The sequence below is a fragment of the Homo sapiens genome, chromosome 10 (assembly GCF_000001405.40).
Source record: "Homo sapiens chromosome 10, GRCh38.p14 Primary Assembly".
NCBI classification, from domain to species: domain Eukaryota; kingdom Metazoa; phylum Chordata; class Mammalia; order Primates; family Hominidae; genus Homo; species Homo sapiens.
Window position 1 is genome coordinate 52,529,049 of NC_000010.11, and position 21,312 is coordinate 52,550,360.

A 21,312-nucleotide genomic window follows, 5' to 3' on the forward strand; every position below is an offset into this window, starting at 1 on the left:
GGGAGGCCGAGGTGGGCAGATCACAAGGTCAGGAGATTGAGACCATCCTGGCTAACATAGTGAAACCCCATCTCTACTAAAAATACAACAATTAGCCAGACATGGTGGTGTGTGCCTGTAGTCCCAGCTGCCTCAGGGAACCCTCAAAACCATGCAAATACATGGAAATTAAATAATCTGCTCCTGAGTGATTGAAGGATCAACAATGAAATCAAGATGGATATTAAGAAACTCTTTGAACTGAATAATGAGAGTGGTATTACCTATCAAAACCTCTGGGATACAACAAGAGTGGTGCTAAGAGAAAAGTTCATAGCATTAATGCCTATATCAAAAAGTCTGAAAGAGCACAAATAGACAATCTAAGGTCATACCTCAAGGAACTATAGAAACAAGAACAAACAAAACTCACAGCCAGCAGAAGAAAAGAAATAACAAAGATCAGAGCAGAACTAAATGAAATTGAAAAAAAAAACAAAAAACAAAAACAGAAAACATAAATGGAACAAAAAGCTGTTTCTTTGAAAAGATAAAATTCATAGACCATTAGTGAGATTAACCAAGAAAAGAATAGAGAAGATACAAATAAGCTCAATTAGAAATGAAACAAGAAATATTACAACTGATACTACAGAAATACAAAAGATCATTCAAGGCTACTATGAACACCTTTACACGCACAAACTAGAAAACCTAGAGGAGACGGATAAATTCCTGGAAAAATACAACCTTCCTAGATTAAACCAGGAAGAAATAGAATCTGAACTGCCCGATAATAAGCAGTGATACTAAAATGGTAATAAAAAATTGGCAACAAAAGATGTCCAGGACCAGATGGATTCACAGCTGAATTCTATCAGACATTAAATAAAGAATTGATACCAATTCTATGGAAATTATTCTAAAAGATAGAGGAAGAGAGAATCCTCCCTAAATCATTCTTTGAAGCCGGTATCTCCCTAATACTAAAAACAGGAGAGGACATAACATCAACAACAACAACAAAAAAAAACTACAGACCAATATCCCTGATGAACATAGATGCAAAAATCCTCAACGAAATATTAGCTAACTGAATCCAACAGCATATCAAAAAGATAATCCACCATGATCAAGTGGGTTTCCTACCAGGGATACAGGGATAGTTTAATATATGCAAGTCAATAAATGTGATACACCACAGAAACAATTAAAAACAAAAATCACATGATCATCTTAATAGACGCAGAAAAAAAATCATTTGACAAAATCCAACATCCCTTTATGATTAAAACCCTCAGCAAAATTGACATAGAAGGAACATACCTTAGGGTAATAAAAGCCACCAATGACAAACTGACTGCCAACATTATACTGGATGGGAAAATGTTGAAAGCATTTCTCCTGATAACTGGAACAAGACAAGGATATCCACTTTCACCATTTCTATTCAACATAGTAGTGGAAGTCCTAGCCAGAGCAATCAGATAAGGGAAAGAAATAAAGGGCATCCAAATAGGTAAGCAGGAAGTCAAACTGTCACTGTTTGCCAATGATATGATCATATACCTAGAGAACCCTAAAGACCCATCCAAAAATCTCCTAGATATGATAAATAAATTAAGTGTCAGGATACAAAATCAATGTGCACAAATCAGCAGTGCTGCTATACATCAACAGCAACCACTCTGAGAATCAAATCAAGAACGCAACCCGTTTTACAATAGCTGCAAAACAAAATTAAAATCTGGCCAGGCACGGTGACTCACGCCTGTAATCCCAGCACTTTAAGAGGCCAAGACGGAAGGATCACTTGAGGTCAGGAGTTCAAGAGACCAACATGATGAAACCCCGTCTCTACTAAAAATACAAAAATTAGCCAAGCGTGATGGCACATGCCTGTAATCCCAGCTATTCGGGAGGCTGAGGTAGGAGAATCACTTGAACTCGGGAGGCAGAGGTTGCAGTGAGTTGAGATCATGCCACTGCACTCCAGCCTGGGCCACAGAGCGAGACTCCTTCTCAAATAAATAAATAAATAAATAAATAAATAAAAATCTTTAGGAATACACCCAACCAAGGAGGTGAAAGCCCTCTACAAGGAAATCTACAAAGCACTGCTGAAAGAAATTATAGATCACGCAAAGAAATGGAAACACATCTCATGCTCATGGATGGGTAGAATTAATATTGTGAAAATGACCAGACTGCCAAAAGCAACCTACAAATTTGGTGCAATTTCCATCAAAATACCACCATCATTCTTCACAGGACTAGAGAAAAACAATCCTAAAATTCATATGGAACTAAAAAAGAGCCCACATACCCAAAGCAAGGCTAAGCACAAAGAACGAATCTGTAGGCATCACGTTACCCGACTTCAAACTATGCAATCCCATACACTTTCTCAACAATTTCTCCCCTCCTTACCTCCCACACTCCTTCCTGATACATTTACTGAGTTAATGTAAAGATTGAATTATTTAGTTAGCCCTATTGGCTGCTACACGTATTCCCTCTGGTTCAAGGTGGGAAAGAAAAAGCAGGAGAATAAAAGAGAGGTATTAGGATCTAAAATTTACCATATAATATGGTAGCCACTAGCCAAATTTAAATTAATTAAAACCAAATATAATTAAACATTTAGTTCTTCAGTAGCACTAGCCACATTTCATGTGTTCGATAGACACCTATGGCAAGTAGCTACCAAGTAAGATATAGCATAGATTATAGATCGTTTCATTTTTGTGAAATACTCTATCAAGCAGCCCTGAGACAGAACATAATAAACATCAGCCTTATTTCCCACCTGTATTTCAATTAATTTAAGGACTATTACAACATAGTCAGAAAATGGAATATCAAAATACCATTACTATTATTATGGATAAACTTGATATTAGAGGATATGGTTTTTGTCTGTGGGCAAATATGCTTATCTATCCAGATTTACCCATACAGACAGGGTAAAGATGAACTGGGACAGCTTTCCTTATTGGTAGAGAGATAGAGCCTACCATGGAAAAATGTCTGAGACTTGTGGAAGGTGATCCAACAAGGAAGAAAAGTCAACTAATTTGTTTTACCCTAATAACATCAATCAGACTGTTCACTCAGCTCTTTTGGAGCAGAATGAGCAAAGTAACAGAACCAGAACATCACAATCACCAATCTCCTTTCCTGTGGAAGAAAACAGACTTGTAGAAATGATGTCCCTTAAAGAGAAGATAAAACAATACCCCCAGACTTTCATTATCTAGGATAAATTGTAAGTTCTTTGGGACTCTAGGATGAAATCTTCCCTAGCAGTGTGTCTTGAGATGCAATTTCCATCAAAATACCACCATTGTTCTTCACAGAACTAGAAAAAACAATCCCAAAATTGATATGGAACTAAAAAAGAGCCCTCATAGCCAAAGCAAGACTAAGCAAAAAGAACAAATCTGGAGGCATCACGTTACCCGACTTCAAACTATACGATCCCATACACTTTCGTAAGTTTCTCCCCTCCCTTAAATAGAAGATAAAATAGTACCCCAGACTTTCATCCTGTATGATAAATTGTAAGTTCTTTTGGGCTCTAGGATAAGATCTTCCCTAGCAGTGTGTCTTGAGATAATGATTCTTTTAAGCTCTTAAAGTGGTGGATGAGGTAGCCAGCACTTCTGGATAATTGTTATCTGCTTCTAAGCTACTTCATCCTGGGCTTTATTCCACTTTGAAAAAAAAGTTTAAAAAGATTGGTTGATCATGAAACTATTCTGTGTGTGACAATGAGAAAAGCCATTAACATGGCACCCAACATCTTTCATTAAATCCAAAGGCCCTCTATATTCTATCTCTCTCTCTATAAGACCTTCCCTTTCCTTCCTTTCCCTTCCCTTCCCTTACCTTACCTTACCTTACCTTACCTTCCCTTCCCTTCCCTCCTCTCCCTTCCCCTCCCCTCCTTTCCTCCTTTCCTCATTTCCTTTCTTTCCTTCTTTCCCTCCCCTTCCCTCCCCTTCCATCCCCTTCCCTCCCCCCTTCCCCCCCCTTCCCTTCTTCTTCCCTCTCCCCCACCTCCCTCTTTCTTTCTCTCCCTCCCTTCCTCCTCCATGGTACCTGTTTTTTGTATGTGCAGATAGCCTTTATGTCAAACTAAAATTTGTTTCTGGGAATGGCTTATCTAGTATTGGGCCATTTCTTATAGTTGACATATTTGGTTTTATCTTCAGTACTCTGACCAATCAGAGTGTAATTTTTGTTCTTCCTTTCTTGGTTCCATATAGTGGCTCATAGCAAAGATTGCCACACTTTTCTTCTTCCACAAGCATGTTCCTCCCTCTTATTTTGGACTACCAGCTTCTTCTAGAACCTGTGGTAAGAATAACTTGTTATAAAATTAATTCAGAAGCATCCATTTCTGAATTATTTATCACAATATATGGCACTTTAAAATTTATCATCTTATCTTTTTCTCTGTTTTATACTGCAACCTTTTTAAGTGTAACTACATTCTCTTATAAGTATGTCCTCAGAGTTCTAACATGAATCAGATGAACATTAATTAAATTATGAATTAAATTAGACTAGGTGGTTTTAGACAATTTGAGACACCATAGCAGTGATAGACTTTGAGTCCCATTAGGATTTTAATATGCCCCTTTAGTCAAAAATTGCTTCTGGAGCTAGACTGACTAAATTGAATCCTGGCTTCTTCATCTACAAGGTGTATGACCCTGGACCACTTACTTAAGCTCTCATATTCCTCACACTAAATTAATGATAATGTTGCCTATTTACCGCATACAGTTGGTAAGTTTAATTGAGCCTATCGTGTAGAACATGATGAGGGGCACACTGGAGATGCTGAAAAAGTAGATTATTTTGTTTCGTTGAACAATTTACATATACATATTTAAAATCATTTTAAGATTGCCCTATTATCTCTAGTTCCTCAGGTGTGAATTCCTCGCCTTAGTGGCCTATGGATTATATTCCTTGATGATAGACTGCTTTTTGTGTTTTGTAACTTTTGCCTTAAGCACATCTTCTGTGAAAGTTGTCTTTCTTGGAGACTAAGCATACCTTCAGCTGTGGAAGCTTTCCTAACAGATGGGTTTTTATAGCTGCTACAGCCTGGCCTCTATGTTAGTCTTTCACCTCAGGGACTTTCTACAGCTCATTACTCACCCTTATTCATGGCAGTCTAAGGATTCTGGTTTTATTTATTTTTTTTGGTGGGGTTGGGGGTGAGGGGAGAGATAAATCTGTTTTTGATTGATCACAGTTTCATGTAGGCCAATTGCCTCTTGTTTTCCCCCAGGACTAGTGGGGTAGAGAATTTTTAATTCTTCTTCCAGATTGGGCAGAGATTTTCTTCTTTTTTATGCCAGTTACCAGCTATGTAATCTTGGGTAAGTTAATTTACCCTTTCCTACTCCAGTTCCTTCAAGGTGAGGTATAATAATAGTATATATCTCATAGGTTTTTGTGAGGATTAAATAATTTGATATACATAAGGTGCTTAGAGTGGTGTCTGTAATATATTAAATGTTATTTAATTGTTACTTACTACTGTTATTCTTATGTAGACAATAAACCTCAGCCCCTATCATATTGAGAATGTATATTATCTTGGATGTATTAGATTCATCTTTATGACTATATTTTCTACTTGCCTTTTTATAAATTGAATTTCTGTTTTAACGTTTTTGCTCTTGAGTGTATATATCTATTTTAAAATTTAAAACACCTTTACCAAGTATTTATTTATGTTTGGAGAGTGTAAGTGTGTGTTAAAGGTAGGTCAAGTAGATGGGAAGAATTCCTATATCAACTTAGTCTACTATCTTGACCCAAAGTCATAGCTTCTGATACTTGTTCTTATTACAGATGTTCTTTTTGTTATTATTACTGGACTCGCCTCATCTCTAACACTGCAAAGTATGTTGTATGAGTTAGGATTCTTTACATCATAAGTCACACACACACACACACACACACCCCAAACCAAAATGCCTTAATCAAATAGGGAATTTATTAGTTCATGTAACAAAGTCAAAAGGGAGATTATTAACTCAGCTATATTTGGACTCAAAATATACCACAATTCAGATTTTCTTAATCTTTAAAGTCTGTTTCTGTGAATTGATTTTTTTGTCAACACACACTTCTTGCATATCGTGACAAATGGTAGTAGTATTCTCAGCCTACATTTAAGCATGTTTAAGCACAGTGGCATCTCAGAAAATTATCATTATATTTCATTGATCTTATTGGGTTAGGATCCCATTACTCAGGAAATCAGTGTGAGGTAAGTGAAAGTAATTTGAACAACAATAAAGGAAATTAATGAATCTATAAACTGATTATTTGAAAAGATAAATAAAATTTATAAACATCTAGCTAGCAGGTCAAAAAAGAGAGAGAGAGAAGATAAACAACATCAAAAATGAAAGAGGGGATATATCTTCAGATCCCATAAACATTAAAAGGATAGAAAGGAAGTATTATAAACAACTTTATGCCTATTCGTTTGATAACTTTCATGAAATGGACATCAAAGTTTTTTGTACTAATACCACTAGGCAGCTTCTCAAATTACTGGTGCATTAATTTGTGAAGTTAAGATAAAAAGGTTCTCTCCTGTGTTTACAGGGCAACTTATAAATCCAGTATTAGAGCATTTGAAGAATGTGTAATCCCCTTCTCCTTTCCTGGATTATCTCTTAGCAATATATATTTCTGTGAAAGAAAATTTCTCTCATGTTCAGTGACATCTTTTCTGATGTCACTTTTTTCTTCAGAAACTGTTTTCATTAAGCTGGTGCTCTTCCTATTGATAATGTGCTTGTAAGAACTGTTTGTAATAAAGGTTTATAATAACTGATGAGGGATACCATATTGTATATTATTGATTTTATTATGTTCACCATCATTGTTCTGAAGTTTTGAAATATTTATTTTCCAAAATTATAACAAGGAATGTATATGAGTAAAATTTTTTTTCTGTCCACGACTGCCACCATCTTGTTAAGCCACCATTTTTATTTGCTTTTCTCCCAGGTTCTCCCAAATCCTCTCCACCACCTACCATCAACCCTTGAAAACCTTACTACTATTATCTCTTGCAAAGCAAGCTAACTCTTTTTAGTTCATATGGCTTTATCTTTATCCATTCAGTGTCTTTTTTGATGTAAGTAGTCAACATCTGATGCTGAATATAAGGAATGCAGTTTATATTTTCCTAAGTTGAAAAAAAGTCCTTACTTTGAGTTACTTTTCTTCAAACCTAGAAAGATATTTTTATTTAAATAGGGTAATTGAAGTGGTATTTATTTTGGAGTCCAGCAGGGCTTTGAGGTATTTAAAGAATAAGATAATAAAATGATCTAGGAAGTTAATAAATTGTAATTACCTCTACTCTCCTAAGAGTAGAGGTCTTATTTTAATGTATAAAAGTTGGTCCAGTGTAACAATTGTGTGAATAATGGTGATAGTTGATATCTGTTATTACTTGGTCTTGTATTTTAACATTATCTCTTAAACATTTTCCAGAATGGAAAAGAGCATATTTCTATTATTTCCTGTATTTCCTTTTGCTATGAAATGTAAAAAAAAAATACAAAGACAAAATAATTGTTATCCAAAATTAACCCTTATTAATGTTTTATTATATTTTCTTCAAGTTTCTTTTTTTGAAATTTTACATTCAAGGTTACATGTGCAGGATGTGCAGGTTTGTTACATAGGTAAATATGTGCCATAGTAGTTTGCTGCTTCATGTGTGTTGTTCTCCCTGTGTCCATGTATTATCATTATTCAGCTCCCCCTTGTAAGTGAGAGCATGTGGTGTTTGGTTTTCTGTTCCTGCATTAGTTTGCTGAGAATAATGATTTCCAGCTCCATTCATGTCCCTTGCAAAGGACATGATCTCATTCCTTTTTATGGGTGCATAGTATTCCATGGTGCTTATGTACCACATTTTCTTTATCCAGTCTATCATTGATGGGCATTTGGGTTGACTCCATGTCTCTGCTATTGTGTATAGTGCTGCAATGAACACATACCTGCATGTATCTTCTTGTAATTTTTATTTTTTTTAATAATAGAATGATTTACACTCCTTTGGGCATATACCCAGTAATAGGATTGCTGGGTCAAATGGTATTTCTGGTTCTAGATCTTTGAGGAATTCCCACACTGTCTTCCACAATAGTTGAACTAATTTACATTCCCACCAACAGTGTAAAAGTGTTCCTTTTTCTCCGCAGCCTCACTAACATCTGTTGTTTCTTGACGTTTTAATAATCACCATTTTGACTGGCATGAGATGGTATCTCATTATGGTTTTGATGTGCATTGCTCTAATGATTACTGATGTTGAACTTTCTCTGATATGATTGTTGGTCGCATGTACGTCTTCTTTTGAGAAGTGTCTGTTCATGTCCTTTACCCACTTTTTAATGGGATTGTTTGTTGTTTTCATGTAAATTTGTTTAAATTTCTTGTAGATTCTGGATATTAGACAAATGTCAGATGGATAGATTGCAAAAATTTTCTCCTGTTCTGTAGGATGTGTGTTCACTCTGATGATAGTTTCTTTTGCTGTGCAGAAGTTCTTTAGTTTAATTAGATCCCATGCCAATTTTTGCTTTTGTTGCAATTGCTTTTGATGTTTTTGTCATGAAATCTTTGCCCATGCCTATGTCCTGAAGGGAATTGCATAGATTTTCTTCTAGAGTTTTTATAGTTTTGGTTTTTACATTTAAGTCTTTAATCTACCTTGAGTTAATTTTTGTATAAAGTGTAATGAAGGGGTCCAGTTTCAATTTTCTGCATATGGCTAGCCAGTTCTCCCAGCACCATTTATTAAATAGGGAATCCTTTCCCTGTTGCTTGTTTTTGTCAGGTTTGTCGAAGATCAGATGGTTGTAGATGTGTGATCTTATTTCTGAGTTCTCTATTCTGTTCCCTTGGTCTATGTGTCTGTTTTTGTACCAGTACCATGCTGTTTTGGTTACTGTAGCCTTGTAGGATAGTTTGAAGTCAGGTAGCATGATGCCTCCAGGTTTGTTCTTTTTGCTTAGGATTGTCTTGGCTATAGGGGCTCCTTTTCAGTTCCATATAAATTTTAAAATAGTTTTTAAAATGTCAATGGTAGTTTAATGGAAATAGCATTGAATCTATAAATTACTTTAGGCATTATGGCCATTTTCACAATATTGATTATTTCTATCCATGAACAGGGAATGTTTTTCCATTTGTTTGTGTGTTCCCTGATTTCCTTGAGCAGTGGTTTGTAGTTCTCCTTGAAGAGGTCCTTCACTTCTCTTTTAGCTGTGTTCCTAGGTATTTCTCTTTGTAGCAATTGTGAATGGGAGTTCATTCTTGATTTGGCTGTCTGCTTCTCTATTATTGGTGTATAGTAATGCTTGTGATTTTTGCATTGTTACATTGATTTTGTATCCTGAGACTTTGCTGAAGTTCCTTATCAGCTTAAGAAGCTTTTGGGCTGAGACGATGGGGTTTTCTAGATATAGGATCATGTCATCTGCAAACAAAGATAATTTGACTTCCTCCCTGCCTATTTGAATGTCAAGTTTCTTTAAGGTAAAAATCTCACAGATAATGTTCCTTTAGTTCCTTATTGTGAAGACCAACACAGTGTTTTAAAATACATATAAATGTATTATACTGTACCAATTTTTCTGCAACTTGCTTTTTTAATGAAAAATCATGTTTTATAAGTCTAACCACTGTGAGATATAGAAATCTAGTTCTTCTCTATAACTATTGCATAGAATTACCACATTTTCCTTACCCCATTTCTCTATTGATGATATTTAGCTTATTTCCAATATTTTGCTATTAAAAACAATACTATAATAAGAAAAGCAGGACTTCTTGCATAAAAGAAATATATATATAAAATTTTCAATTATACTAGATTTTGGCAGATTGTCCTCTACATTGTTCTATGTAATTGAACTTCCACTAGCATGAGTTTCCTTTTCCCCATGTCCTCCTTTAAACTTTATGTTATCAGACTTAATAATTTTAACTAGTCTCATGGGTGTGTGAAATAATACCTCACTGTGCATGTGTATGTGTGAGTGTTTTAGCATATTTTGGGAATTAATCTTTGTATTCTATATATTTTATAAATATTGCCTCCTGATTAATAGCTTACATCTTATCTTTAAATATGTTTTTTTAAATTTGAGTTTAAATGAACAAAAATTTGGCCATCTCTTTCTTAATGGTTTGTAATTTTTGCATGTTGTTTCAGAAATTCTTTTTTTATCTGAAGGGAACAACTTATTTTCTATGTTTCTCTTAACTTCTGTAGTTATATTCTTTTCATACAATAACTATTTCTTCCTTTTCTCCAATATTTTTTATGCCTCTCTCCATTCTGTGTATGGTAGGTTTCCCTTCAAGTTCATTTGAAATACTTTTAAAACACTTATAAATGAGTTCTCAAGCCTGAGTGTACAAACAAATTATTTTTCAATATCACAAGGTAATTTTCATTTCAAGACCTTTCTGCAGAAATGTTGGTGAGGGGATTGTTTCCACATTCCAGGACTTATGTGGTGCTGAGACATTGTGGCATATCTGGCCAATGAGTCATCTATCCAAGTGGGAATCCTAGAGACCCACCTTTCTTACTCAGTACTTAGCTATTCAGCCATACAGATCTTTCTTGAGACCACTCATGTTCTTGTCCTCAAGGCTTCTTCAAGGCTGTTGGCATCTATGGTCTATGGCAGAGCCAGGCTTCAGGCGTGGACATCATTCTACATCTTTGACACCATAATTGGGTAGTAGAAACTCTCCATGCCCGTGCAGGACTCCGTCTGCCTGGACCCATTACACAAATGTTCTTTACTGTCACTGATGATTTGCTGCCTTCCCTAAGCCACACTCCGAGAATCCTGTTCTGGAATCACAGCACAGGGCCCCTCTCTCAAAGACCCTACAATTTCTCTTTTTCATTGCTTCCTTACTATCTCTTCTATTTTCCTTTCCACCCAGGGGGTTCTTTTTCTAGTCAGGATGGGAATGGGCATGAGACACCATTTTTTTTCTTTTTTTTTTTTCTACACATTTTATTCTAAATCCTTAAAATCTCTCCAAAGGAATTTAAGTTTTTTGGAGCATAAAAGGCAGAGACTTTTAGGCTGCTTCTGCTTTGTTTTCTGACATATCCTTTCACTGAAGTGATGAATACAGAGCCAAGTTTGTGCCTGCATGAGGCAAGAGATAGTGGGAAATTACTGGAACAAAAAATTTAAAAAGGAAAACAGCCAACTTCTTTAAAATATTATCCTGCCATGCTCACATGTTATAATTTTAATCTTCATAGCTTTGATTTCTGTACTTTTGAATTACTGTTATAATTTGGTATATTTATATTGCCTCTGATTATTCAATTTAGTAGGAGCAATACTAAAAGTTCTCGTTTCTTTTCAGTCAGTCTAAGGTCTTGCTGTCTGCTGGCTGCCAGACCTGTACCTATTAAAATTCACATTTATTAATGCTCATGGTCTGCTTTTAGCCATTCTAATCACACTGTCCTTCCTGTCTTAGTTTTCTTTTACATCAGACTTTAAAACATGTCTCCATTTCCTACCATCAATCATTAGTTAAGCCTTGACTTGTTAAAACTTCTGTCTAAAGCATTATGTTAGTAAAATGATTAGACTGCAGGTCCATGTCTCTTATCATTAGCCAGAGTTTTTGCATCTGATCCCCACAGTGATCCAAATGCAGAATTGTTTTCCATGAGCTGTCGTGGAGAAGGAGGTCATTATGACAAAAGACTTCTGCCTAATTTATATAGTGAGGCATGCTCACTAATTGTGGCGTCAGAGCTCTGACCAGTTACCAATTGATTTCTATCAGTGTTGTGGGAGATGATAAATTTTAATCAGAATTTTTTGGTCTCTATTAGTCTGGCTTTTTAAAAAAAATAATGGATTTCTCTCATTCATGCTTTCCCTAGTCTGCATTTTTATGACTGTGATGTGCTTTGATTTACTTCATTCAAAGTATGATGCTCTGGCTTCAATTACTCCATTTAACTTTAAATAGACATTGCTACAAGTCTTACTGATACAAAGAACATCTGGTGTCAATAAATTGCAGCAGGAGGTGCCATGTGGGAAGGAACCCAAGAACTAAACACATCTCTGGGCACATCCTTCAGGACCATGAGCACACATATTGTGGCATTCTGCCACTTATCTTCTTACATGTTATCAGAGTGGAGCTCAGGGAGTTTGGGTCAGCATGGCATCATGATTTTCATTGCAACAACGTTTGACTCACTGACTTAAGCTCCAGACACAAAACATTCTGTTCAGTTGATAACATCTTTGGGGACGACTTTTGCTAAACAGGAAAGGCACAGAGAGCAAGGGACACTTTTTTTTTTAATGTCATGCACAGGGTGTTTAATGAAAGAGATTGTAAAAAAGTCAGAGTAAAGAACTCTATTCCTCATGTCCCCTCCTTGCCAACATGCACCAAACCCAAAGTGCTGAAGTCTCTACAAGGAAATATATTTATTCCTTGCTATTTGTGGGTTGATTACAGCCACAAATTTTAACAACTACCTTAAACTACCAGATACAAATAGTAGACTGTACAATTATTTAAATCATGAGAAACTTTTGCCTGATTTGAAGCCTAGAAAAGTAAATTCTTCTTTAATTATAAAAGTACGGATAGCATAGGAATAATTTACCAAAGATGTAACTGATATTTAAGTTTTATTCTGTACACAAGGTTTCTGAATCAAAGTTGTGCACTGCTAATCTAATCCTGGTAAAGAAGGGTGCTCTTCATCATACGTTGTATTTAAATGACAATAAGTGCAATTATTTATGGATCACAGAGCTGGAAAACAGACTTCTGTTTCTCAAAGTATCAAAGTGTTTTGATCTCATTTATCTCAGGAATCAGAACCCGGAACCCAACGTGACCAGACTCTCCTTGTCTTCACTGCTTGTTTCTGCTGTGCTTCTTGGATGCTCTCCCTGTGCTAGGGAAGCAGCTGACCACAGAGATCACATCCTCCCAGTTTTAACCACTCCTGAAGAAAGACAGTCCCCTTCCCCAGGGTCCATATATTGATCTCACAGAAGGACCCTGATTGGCTTTGTTTTGTGCTGTTCTCACCCTTGAATCAATCACGCTGCCAGAAAGGAAGGGCTCGTGATGGGCCAAGAACTGTTTTTGTGGTGAGGAGAGCGGGTTCTGTTTCCAGGAGGAGGGAGATGAGAAAGCTTACTGGGCAAAAGAAACAAACAAAAAAACCCCAAACCAATTAAACAAATACAAGCAATAGGTACTACCATCTGTAAACCAATTCTGGATAAAGATTTGGGGAATGGGTCTGAGAAAGGCATACATTTCAGTCTGGGGACATTTTCTTTGTTCTGTCTACCCAGAGCTAAAACACCATCGTAAGACAGGCCGTCATGTCCCACCACAAGGAAAGAGGAAATAGACATCTCTTCTGCATTTTGGGGGAGAATGAAATAGCAGCAAGAGAGAATGAGAATGTTCTGTAAAAGGCAAATACCAAAATAGGGTTAGACTGGGTCAGCACTCCCCTGAGTAAGTCCTCGCAGGATGATAAGAGGTAGTGTTAAGTGAGTAAAAGGAAGAAGATTAGGTTACACAACATTAGAAAGCTTTCCTTTTTGAAAGTTTTTATAGAACTTTTAACATACCGAATACTTTTGAGAATTTCAGAAGACAATATGGCATGCAGAATTTTGAAAACACGTTTAGGTAGAGAACTTTTTTATTTATTAAAGAAAGTGAAAAATTACGTAATTTTTATACATTGATTATCCTGCTATTCTACCAGTTTTTTTTTAATGTAAGAAAGCAATAAAGGCTGGGATTCCAAATCAGGGCTTTTATTATATGGTGGGTGTCTATGGGGCCAGAAAGCCCAGCCACAAATTCAAAAAACTTTCTGTACCTGCTGATCTTCCTTCCCTGTGATCACCAACAGATCCTACAAGAAGGGTCATTGGAATCATGCCACCTGAGTCATCCCAATTTGATGTACCCAAACTGATGAAATAAAAAGAAAACAATGCCATGAGAAGCATTGTAGCATCTGCTATGTAATAAAGACCTAATAAGTCATTCAATTTCAGGATTCAAAATCCAATGCCTAGAATACCTACACAGCTTCTCAGGAACAGGTGAGTTATCCATAAAACATATTATTTGACATGGAAGCTGAAGGCTCCATTCCTTCTGCATACCTGATTCGCTATCATTCCAGCTCATGTCAGAGCCGCCTGGAATCTTCGATATTGATTCAGAACATTTCATCTACACAGCAAAGTGGTCGAGGTTGGAGAAAGAGTGCTTAAAAGAGATAAAAATCTACTATCCTCCCACAACTTTCAGCAGAAACCAGTCGTTTCACTGTCTTTGGCTAATGAATATCACTGTATTTTAAATCAAGAAATAGTGTGTGAACAGAGTGTTGTGGTCAACTCTTTTCAACCTGTTTGTTTTACCTAGTTCTGTGACTTTGAAAGCAAGTTGCTTGTAATATTTTAATTTGTTTACCATTTACTTCCCTTTCTCCTCTCTTAATAGAATGAGGTTAGCTGATTAAATGGGAGAATTTGGCAGAAGGCATATTTGGTAGGGAAGGTTGAGAGAGAACAACATACTTTTCCTTCAAATCTGATGTCAAAAGTAGAGGAGGTTTTAATAGCCCAGGAAAGGCACAGTCTAAGAGTTCTCATATTCGAACTTTCAATCTCTTTAGAGACCAGATTCATAGACACAATACTAAGTTTTACCTACTCAGGAGAAGCAATTGGATTAGCTTTTCTAGAATGAAGAGGTTTTTCAGTTTGGGGTTGCTTCAATCTCATTCAAATTTCTTTGCTAAAACATATATGTCACTGAATAAGAGTTTATGTTTGAGGATCACCAATAAACTTTCAGAAATTGATACATACTTTTACATCTGCCACTCATATTTTCAAAGTTCATGTCTGGACAGTATGGTTAACTTAAAATTTGAGTTTCATTTACATGAAAATATTGTATGGTTTATAATACTAAGATCTAGAATCCACTCCTGTTACCATTTTTTAATCTTCTTATCTTGGACTAATTATTTCACCTCCTCAAATCCCAGGTTCTTCATTTGTAAACTGAGGTGAAAACAATATTTATTCCATTCACTCACAAAAATGTTGTCATACCTGAAATGTGTCCAACACATCAAAATGATAACTACCTGGCTGATAGACACCCTAGTACTCTGAGTTGATCATTACACAGTCTGTGCATATAACAAAATTTCACGTGTACCTTATGTACAAATATGATGCATAAAAATTTAAAAATTTGTCATAATCAAATGACATTTGTGATAGTTTGTATATTTTGAGATCTGCTACAAAATGTTGTGTTGGATATTAAGGCCACAATGATGAATGACAGACCCCTGAGCATATGGACTTTACGGGTGAGAATTATAGTATATTAGGAAAAATGCGGGAAGGGTATCTAGCAACTGCAGTATGTTAGAATAAATGTGGGAAGGATATATACAACAGTCTTCGAGGAGCAGAGAAGACTCCTGGGAGGTGGGGACACCTCCCGTGTGAGTTGAAAGATAGCTAGATAAATGAATTGGCAACATTTTTCAAGTGGAGAATATGCAAAGATTCAGAAAGGAGAGAGAACATGGCATTTTTAGGGAATAAAAAAAGAGTTCAATTTATTTGGAGCATTAGGTTTGGGGAATTGGGGTCGGAGAATGAAAGATACAGAATGAGAGGAGTAAATGAAGGCCAGATGATTTTAAACTATATATAGGAGTTTGGACTTTAACCTGATGGCAATAGCGAGTCAACATAAAATTTATTTCAAAAGTTTTGAATAGGAAATGGCATAAGCCATTTTATAAATGTGAGAGTTATTATTGGGCTTTCATTAATTATTTAAGTGATAGTATTCAGACAGCAACTCGATCTAGGTTAATCTGCAAATATTTAGAGATAGTTTTGGGGCAATGTCTTAATGTTACTAACAGTTCACATCTTTAGATGGTTCTCTTCTTATTTCCGTGTTGATCACACATTTCTGATAAACTTAACCTGCGTTTAAAGAAATGTGGAAAAATAATAAAAAAGCACAAAATAATTAAGAAACTCATAAGAAATTCAGGCATTTCTGGAGTTTCAGCAGAGCTGTTTGGTGATTCTCTCAACATTTCCATAAAAGATTAACTCTATTGGTGTTAATGAGTTCATAAGGCATCATAATTAATATGAGTTGCAAAGCAATCAATGCTCTGTCAAAAAATAGATATAACTTTTCAGGAAATGATCTGTTTGACCAATTGCCTCCAAATATCACAACTTAACTGAAGGAAGCATGATTAGAAGAAAATCCTTGACCAATTTTTGATTGTTTGCCCTTAGCCTGCATGAACTTATGATGTTATCTTAGGGAACTTGCTTGCCTTGTTGCTGGAATCCTAATCATTCCTTGATGATACTCTTCAGATTAAAGGAGATGTACCTATTAACTTGAAGAAAAGAGCTGTCCCTGTTAACATTGCTTCTTGGAAACATATGGGAACACTTCAGCAGACTGCCCAATTTCTCCTACTGCCTTGCTTTTGCAATAGTCAACTGTTTAACTTACATTCCAGCCATGATGTAGTAATAAAAAGGTAGGGCCAGGACATAATTGTATAAAATACAGTTCCTCATTAATTTCTCCTTTTGGGATAGAGACTTTCAAATATCAAAAACTCCTGTTCCATTATAGTTTCAAACAGTTCATTTAAACCTCCACATAAGTGAAATAGAGATACTTTCTTCCAAAATATGTGGCTATCTAAACACCTAACTATGGAAAAAATGTTGTTAATGAGATTTATGAACAAGGTATCATAACAAAATGAAAAGAAATGGGGAATGCTTGCATGTTAGTGAAATGGCCCAGGAAAGGATAGAGGAGTGGGAGTGAGAGAAAGGGAAAAGGAGAGGAGAGAGGAGGAAAGATAGAGTGATGTGACGTATTTGAGAAAGCAGATGGGGTCTAGAGCACAAGCAGAAGAACCAGCTTTAGATAGGAGTGTGATCTGTTATTCTATCCAGGGACAGTAGGCAAGAAGGCAGGATATATGAGTACTGATGCTGGAAAATGGGTAGTTTTAGATGTGGAAACATGTGGAAGTTGTCTTTCTGAATGCGTCTGTTTTATTAGGAAAATAAGTTGTGAGTTGAGGGCAAGAATGGAAAACAAAGTATTACTGATATGAGAAGGTTTGAAATAGTTATCTAGAAACTAGAAATGTGAATAGAGTAGGGAAATAAATTATGGTTACCAGGCATCTTGGCTTAAGAGGCATCTTGGGATTTGTAGTCATTAATGTTTCAGTATTCAGCAAGTTTGTGTTTTTCTTTTTTTTTCTTTTTTTTTTTTTTTTTTGAGACAGAGTCTCGCTCTGTCGCCCAGACTGGAGTGCAGTGGCGCGATCTCCGCTCACTACAAGCGCCGCCTCCCGGGTTCACGCCCTTCTCCTGCCTCAGCCTCCCTAGTAGCTGGGACTACAGGCTCCCACCACCACGCCCGGCTATTTTTTTGTATTTTTAGTAGAGGTGGGGTTTCACCGTGTTAGTCACGATGGTCTCAATCTCCTGACCTCGTGATCCACCCGCCTCGGCCTCCCAAAGTGCTGGGATTACAGGCGTCAGCCACCGAGGTTTGTGTTTTTCTCCAGCCATATTCCATTGCATGAGCACTGGGAACAACAACTGAATAATGTATCCCTAGGTGGGATTTTGCCCAATATGTAAAAATCTTCCAAAGATAGAGAAGGAAGTTGAGACAAATGCAAAGAAGAGATGATAATTATTAATCATAAAATTTAATGGACAAGTGATAGTATCAGATTTTAGGCACCAATGGTGCAGAAGGATCAGTGAAGTTACAGTACTAGATGGAGTACCCTGGACGGGTAGAAAGTTGGAGTTGGACAGTAAGACACTTGAAAATGAGATTCTGGAGAATTTTCAGTAATTGGTAAAGACAAGGGCAGGTATACAACCATGAAGGATCACTGGAAGTGAGGCAGTCAGGGAACTGAGAGACTAGGCTTTCAGTTGAATCATCTAGGTTCACCGTCAGCCCTCCATACCCATGGGTCTTGCACCTGTGGATTCAACCAACCACAGATAGGAAATATTCAGAAAAGAATGCATCAGTGCTAAACATGTAGAGAATTTTTCTTGTAATTATTTTCTAGACAGTGTGGTATAACAACTATTTATACAGGCTTTATCTTGCAGTAATCTAAAGATGATTTAAATTATATTGAAGGATGTTCATAGGCTATCTGCAAATACCATGTCATTTTATATAAGGGACTTGAGTATCTGCAGATTTTGGTATTCCAGGAAGATCCTGGAACCAATCCTTCTTGCATATTGAGGAACAGCTCTATGTGAAAGCCATTGTCCTAGTCTATTTGTGTTACTGCAAAGGAGTATCTGAGCCAGAGTAATTTATAAAGAAAAGAGGTTTATTTGGCTCACACTTCTGTTGGCTGTACAGGAAACCTAGTGCCAGCATCTGCTTCTGGTGAAGGTTTCAAGCTGCTTCCACTCATGGTGGAAGTTCTAGGAGAACAGACATCATGTGGCAAAAGAGGAAGGAAGAGATAGAGGAGGGAAGTGCCCCACTCCTTTTACCAGTCACATCTCCTGGAAACTAACAGAGCAAGAACTCACTATTGTGAGAACAGCACCAAAACATTCATGAGGGATCTGCTCCCATGATTCGAACACCTCCCACTAGGCCCCATCTCCAACACAGTGCATCAAATTTCAACATGAGATTTGGAAGGTTCAGATATCCAAACCATAGCAGTTACCAAAAATTAAATGGAAGTAATACCCGGGAGAGGTGCAGTAAGCTAGGAGCTAAGATTTTCAGCGAATGAGGAGTGTATTCCAGATATCAGTGAAAACATTTTAGGTGTGAATAGAAAATAAGCTCAATTTGCCACCTTTTTAAGGTTGTGGCTGCTCTAAGACAAGACAATTGAGATTTTTTAATTTTTTAGTTTGTCAGGGGGATTGTTATGAGGTGCTACAATATAGGCAGAAAAAAGAAAGATGTGTACAATATTATGTTTTTGAATGACTACTTGTCGAGGCTTTCTTTCTGAGAAACTGAACATAATTGGCTCATATATACTAAAAATTGTGTTATACGATTCTCACCTTTAATTTATTTCTAAAAAAATAAAGTTTCCAACGCATTAAAATAAACTTTATTTTTAGCGCAGTTTTAGGTTTACAGCAATATTGAGCAGAAGGCACAGAGACTTTTTCATATACTCCCTGCCTCCACACATACATAGTTTCTCCCATTAACATCTCTCACCAGATGTTGTATTTTTTACAATTCATAAACTTACATTAGCATATCATTATCTTCCAAAGTCCATAGTTTACACTGGGGTTCACTCGCGGGTTCATTCCATGAGTTTGGATACATATATCATGTGTACATCATTATAATATTATATAAATAGTTTTATTATCCTAAAAATCCTTATTCCTGTCTATTCATCCATCTCTCTCCCATCCACTGGCAACCACTGATCTTTTTACTGGATCCATAGTTTTGCTTTATCCATAATGTCATATATTTAAAACCATACAGTAATCGTAGCCTTTTCAGACTGGTTTATTTCACTCAGTAATAAGCATTTAAGGTTCCTCCATGTCTTTTCATGACTTGGTAGCTGATTTCTCTTTTGCTCTGTACTTCTCAAAATGATTGGTGTATACTTTTTTGTTTTTCAGTGCTCCTGATTGTTATTTATGTACATAGGTAGAATATGGCAAAATTGTATTTGCAGATTGAATATTTTCATAAAAGATTTAAAAAACGGCATTCTTATTTTTTCACATTTAAGCTTTCTTCAATTCAAAATGAAATTCAAGATAACACACAGAAATTCGGGATTTACATTAAATTCTGTTATCTGTCTAAGATAATTCTATGCTCTTGATTTAGTTAAATAGTTAAATAGTTTTCCCATTGCAGATTTTTATTAACTGATAGGTATATGTAAGCTGAACTTTATACTATGTCAGGTCCTAAATGGGCCATATTAATAAATGAGAGCTAAAAGAAACATATGTTCTCTTCCCTTGGTACTCACTTAATTGTTAAAGATTCAATAGCATCTTTAAAAGTCTTCAGGAAATAAAAAAAAAAAGTCTTCAGGAAATCATGATGAATTGAATTATTAACTTTATAAATGTATTTATTGTTCATTAAAATTTTTTGAAATGTAAACCCAGCATGTTGAATACTGAGTTAAAACATATATGAAGCTAATCTTTTCAAAAACCTTATTACAAAGTCTCAAGATGAAATTTTTTTCATCATGGTAATCTGAGAGACGCTGTAGAGTGTGGTGTTTAAAAGCCTTATTCTGGAATCCAAAGGTTTGGCTATAAGTCCTTGCTCTGCTAATTGTTAGATTTACCTTAGGCGTGTGATTCAAATTTTCCAATCTTAAATTTCCTCACTGTAAAATAGTGGTAATAAAAGAATCTATTTTATAGGGGTTTTAATTACAATTAAATAATCCATAAAAAGCATTTAGCACAATCCCAGGTATAGAGTAATGATATTTTGTCCTGCCCTCTTCCAACTTCAAGATTTCTCTTAAATCATATCCCATGCTTAGAACATTTTTTTCTTCTTTTCTATATACCAAACCACTTTTTACTCAGGAGGATCTCCTAGCAAGTTTAATTAATTGAAAATGGAGAGATTATTCTAGTGTTCATAAAAATTATTCATGTCAATTTAATCCTAAGGATTTTTAAAATAAATTATAAGATAAGTAGGTTACTTCTATGGACTAAATATTTGTGTCCCCCTTCCCCCAAATCCACATGGTATTAATCCTCAATCTGATGGTATTAGGAGGTGGGGCCTTTGGGAAGTCTGATGGTTTTAGGAGGTGGGGCCTTTGGGAAGTAATTAGGTTTAGATGAGTTCATGAGGATGGGGTCTCCACAATGGGATTAATACCTCTATGAACAAAAGAAGAGACTTGAGATCTCTCTCTTAGTGCATGCACCAAGGAAGGCCATGTAAGGGCATAACCAGGAAGATGCCCCTCACCAAGAAACTGACCATGATGGTACCCTGATCTCAGACTTCTAGACTTCAGAGCTGTGAGAAATAAATATTTGTTGTTTAACTCACCTAGTCTATGGCATTTCATTATGGCAGCCCAAACTAACC

The 21,312-nt window shown here is 36.0% G+C and overlaps 1 long non-coding RNA gene across 1 annotated transcript in view; it reads left to right on the forward strand.

Moving 5' to 3' along the window:
• The first annotated feature begins 4,274 nt into the window (after positions 1-4,274).
• The window catches only part of LOC124902426 (uncharacterized), a 46,727-nt gene continuing 29,689 nt past the window's right edge, over positions 4,275-21,312 (forward strand). Inside the window, exon 1 of the long non-coding RNA XR_007062146.1 lies at positions 4,275-4,341. This is a non-coding gene — a long non-coding RNA (uncharacterized LOC124902426). The remainder of the gene's footprint in view (positions 4,342-21,312) is intronic.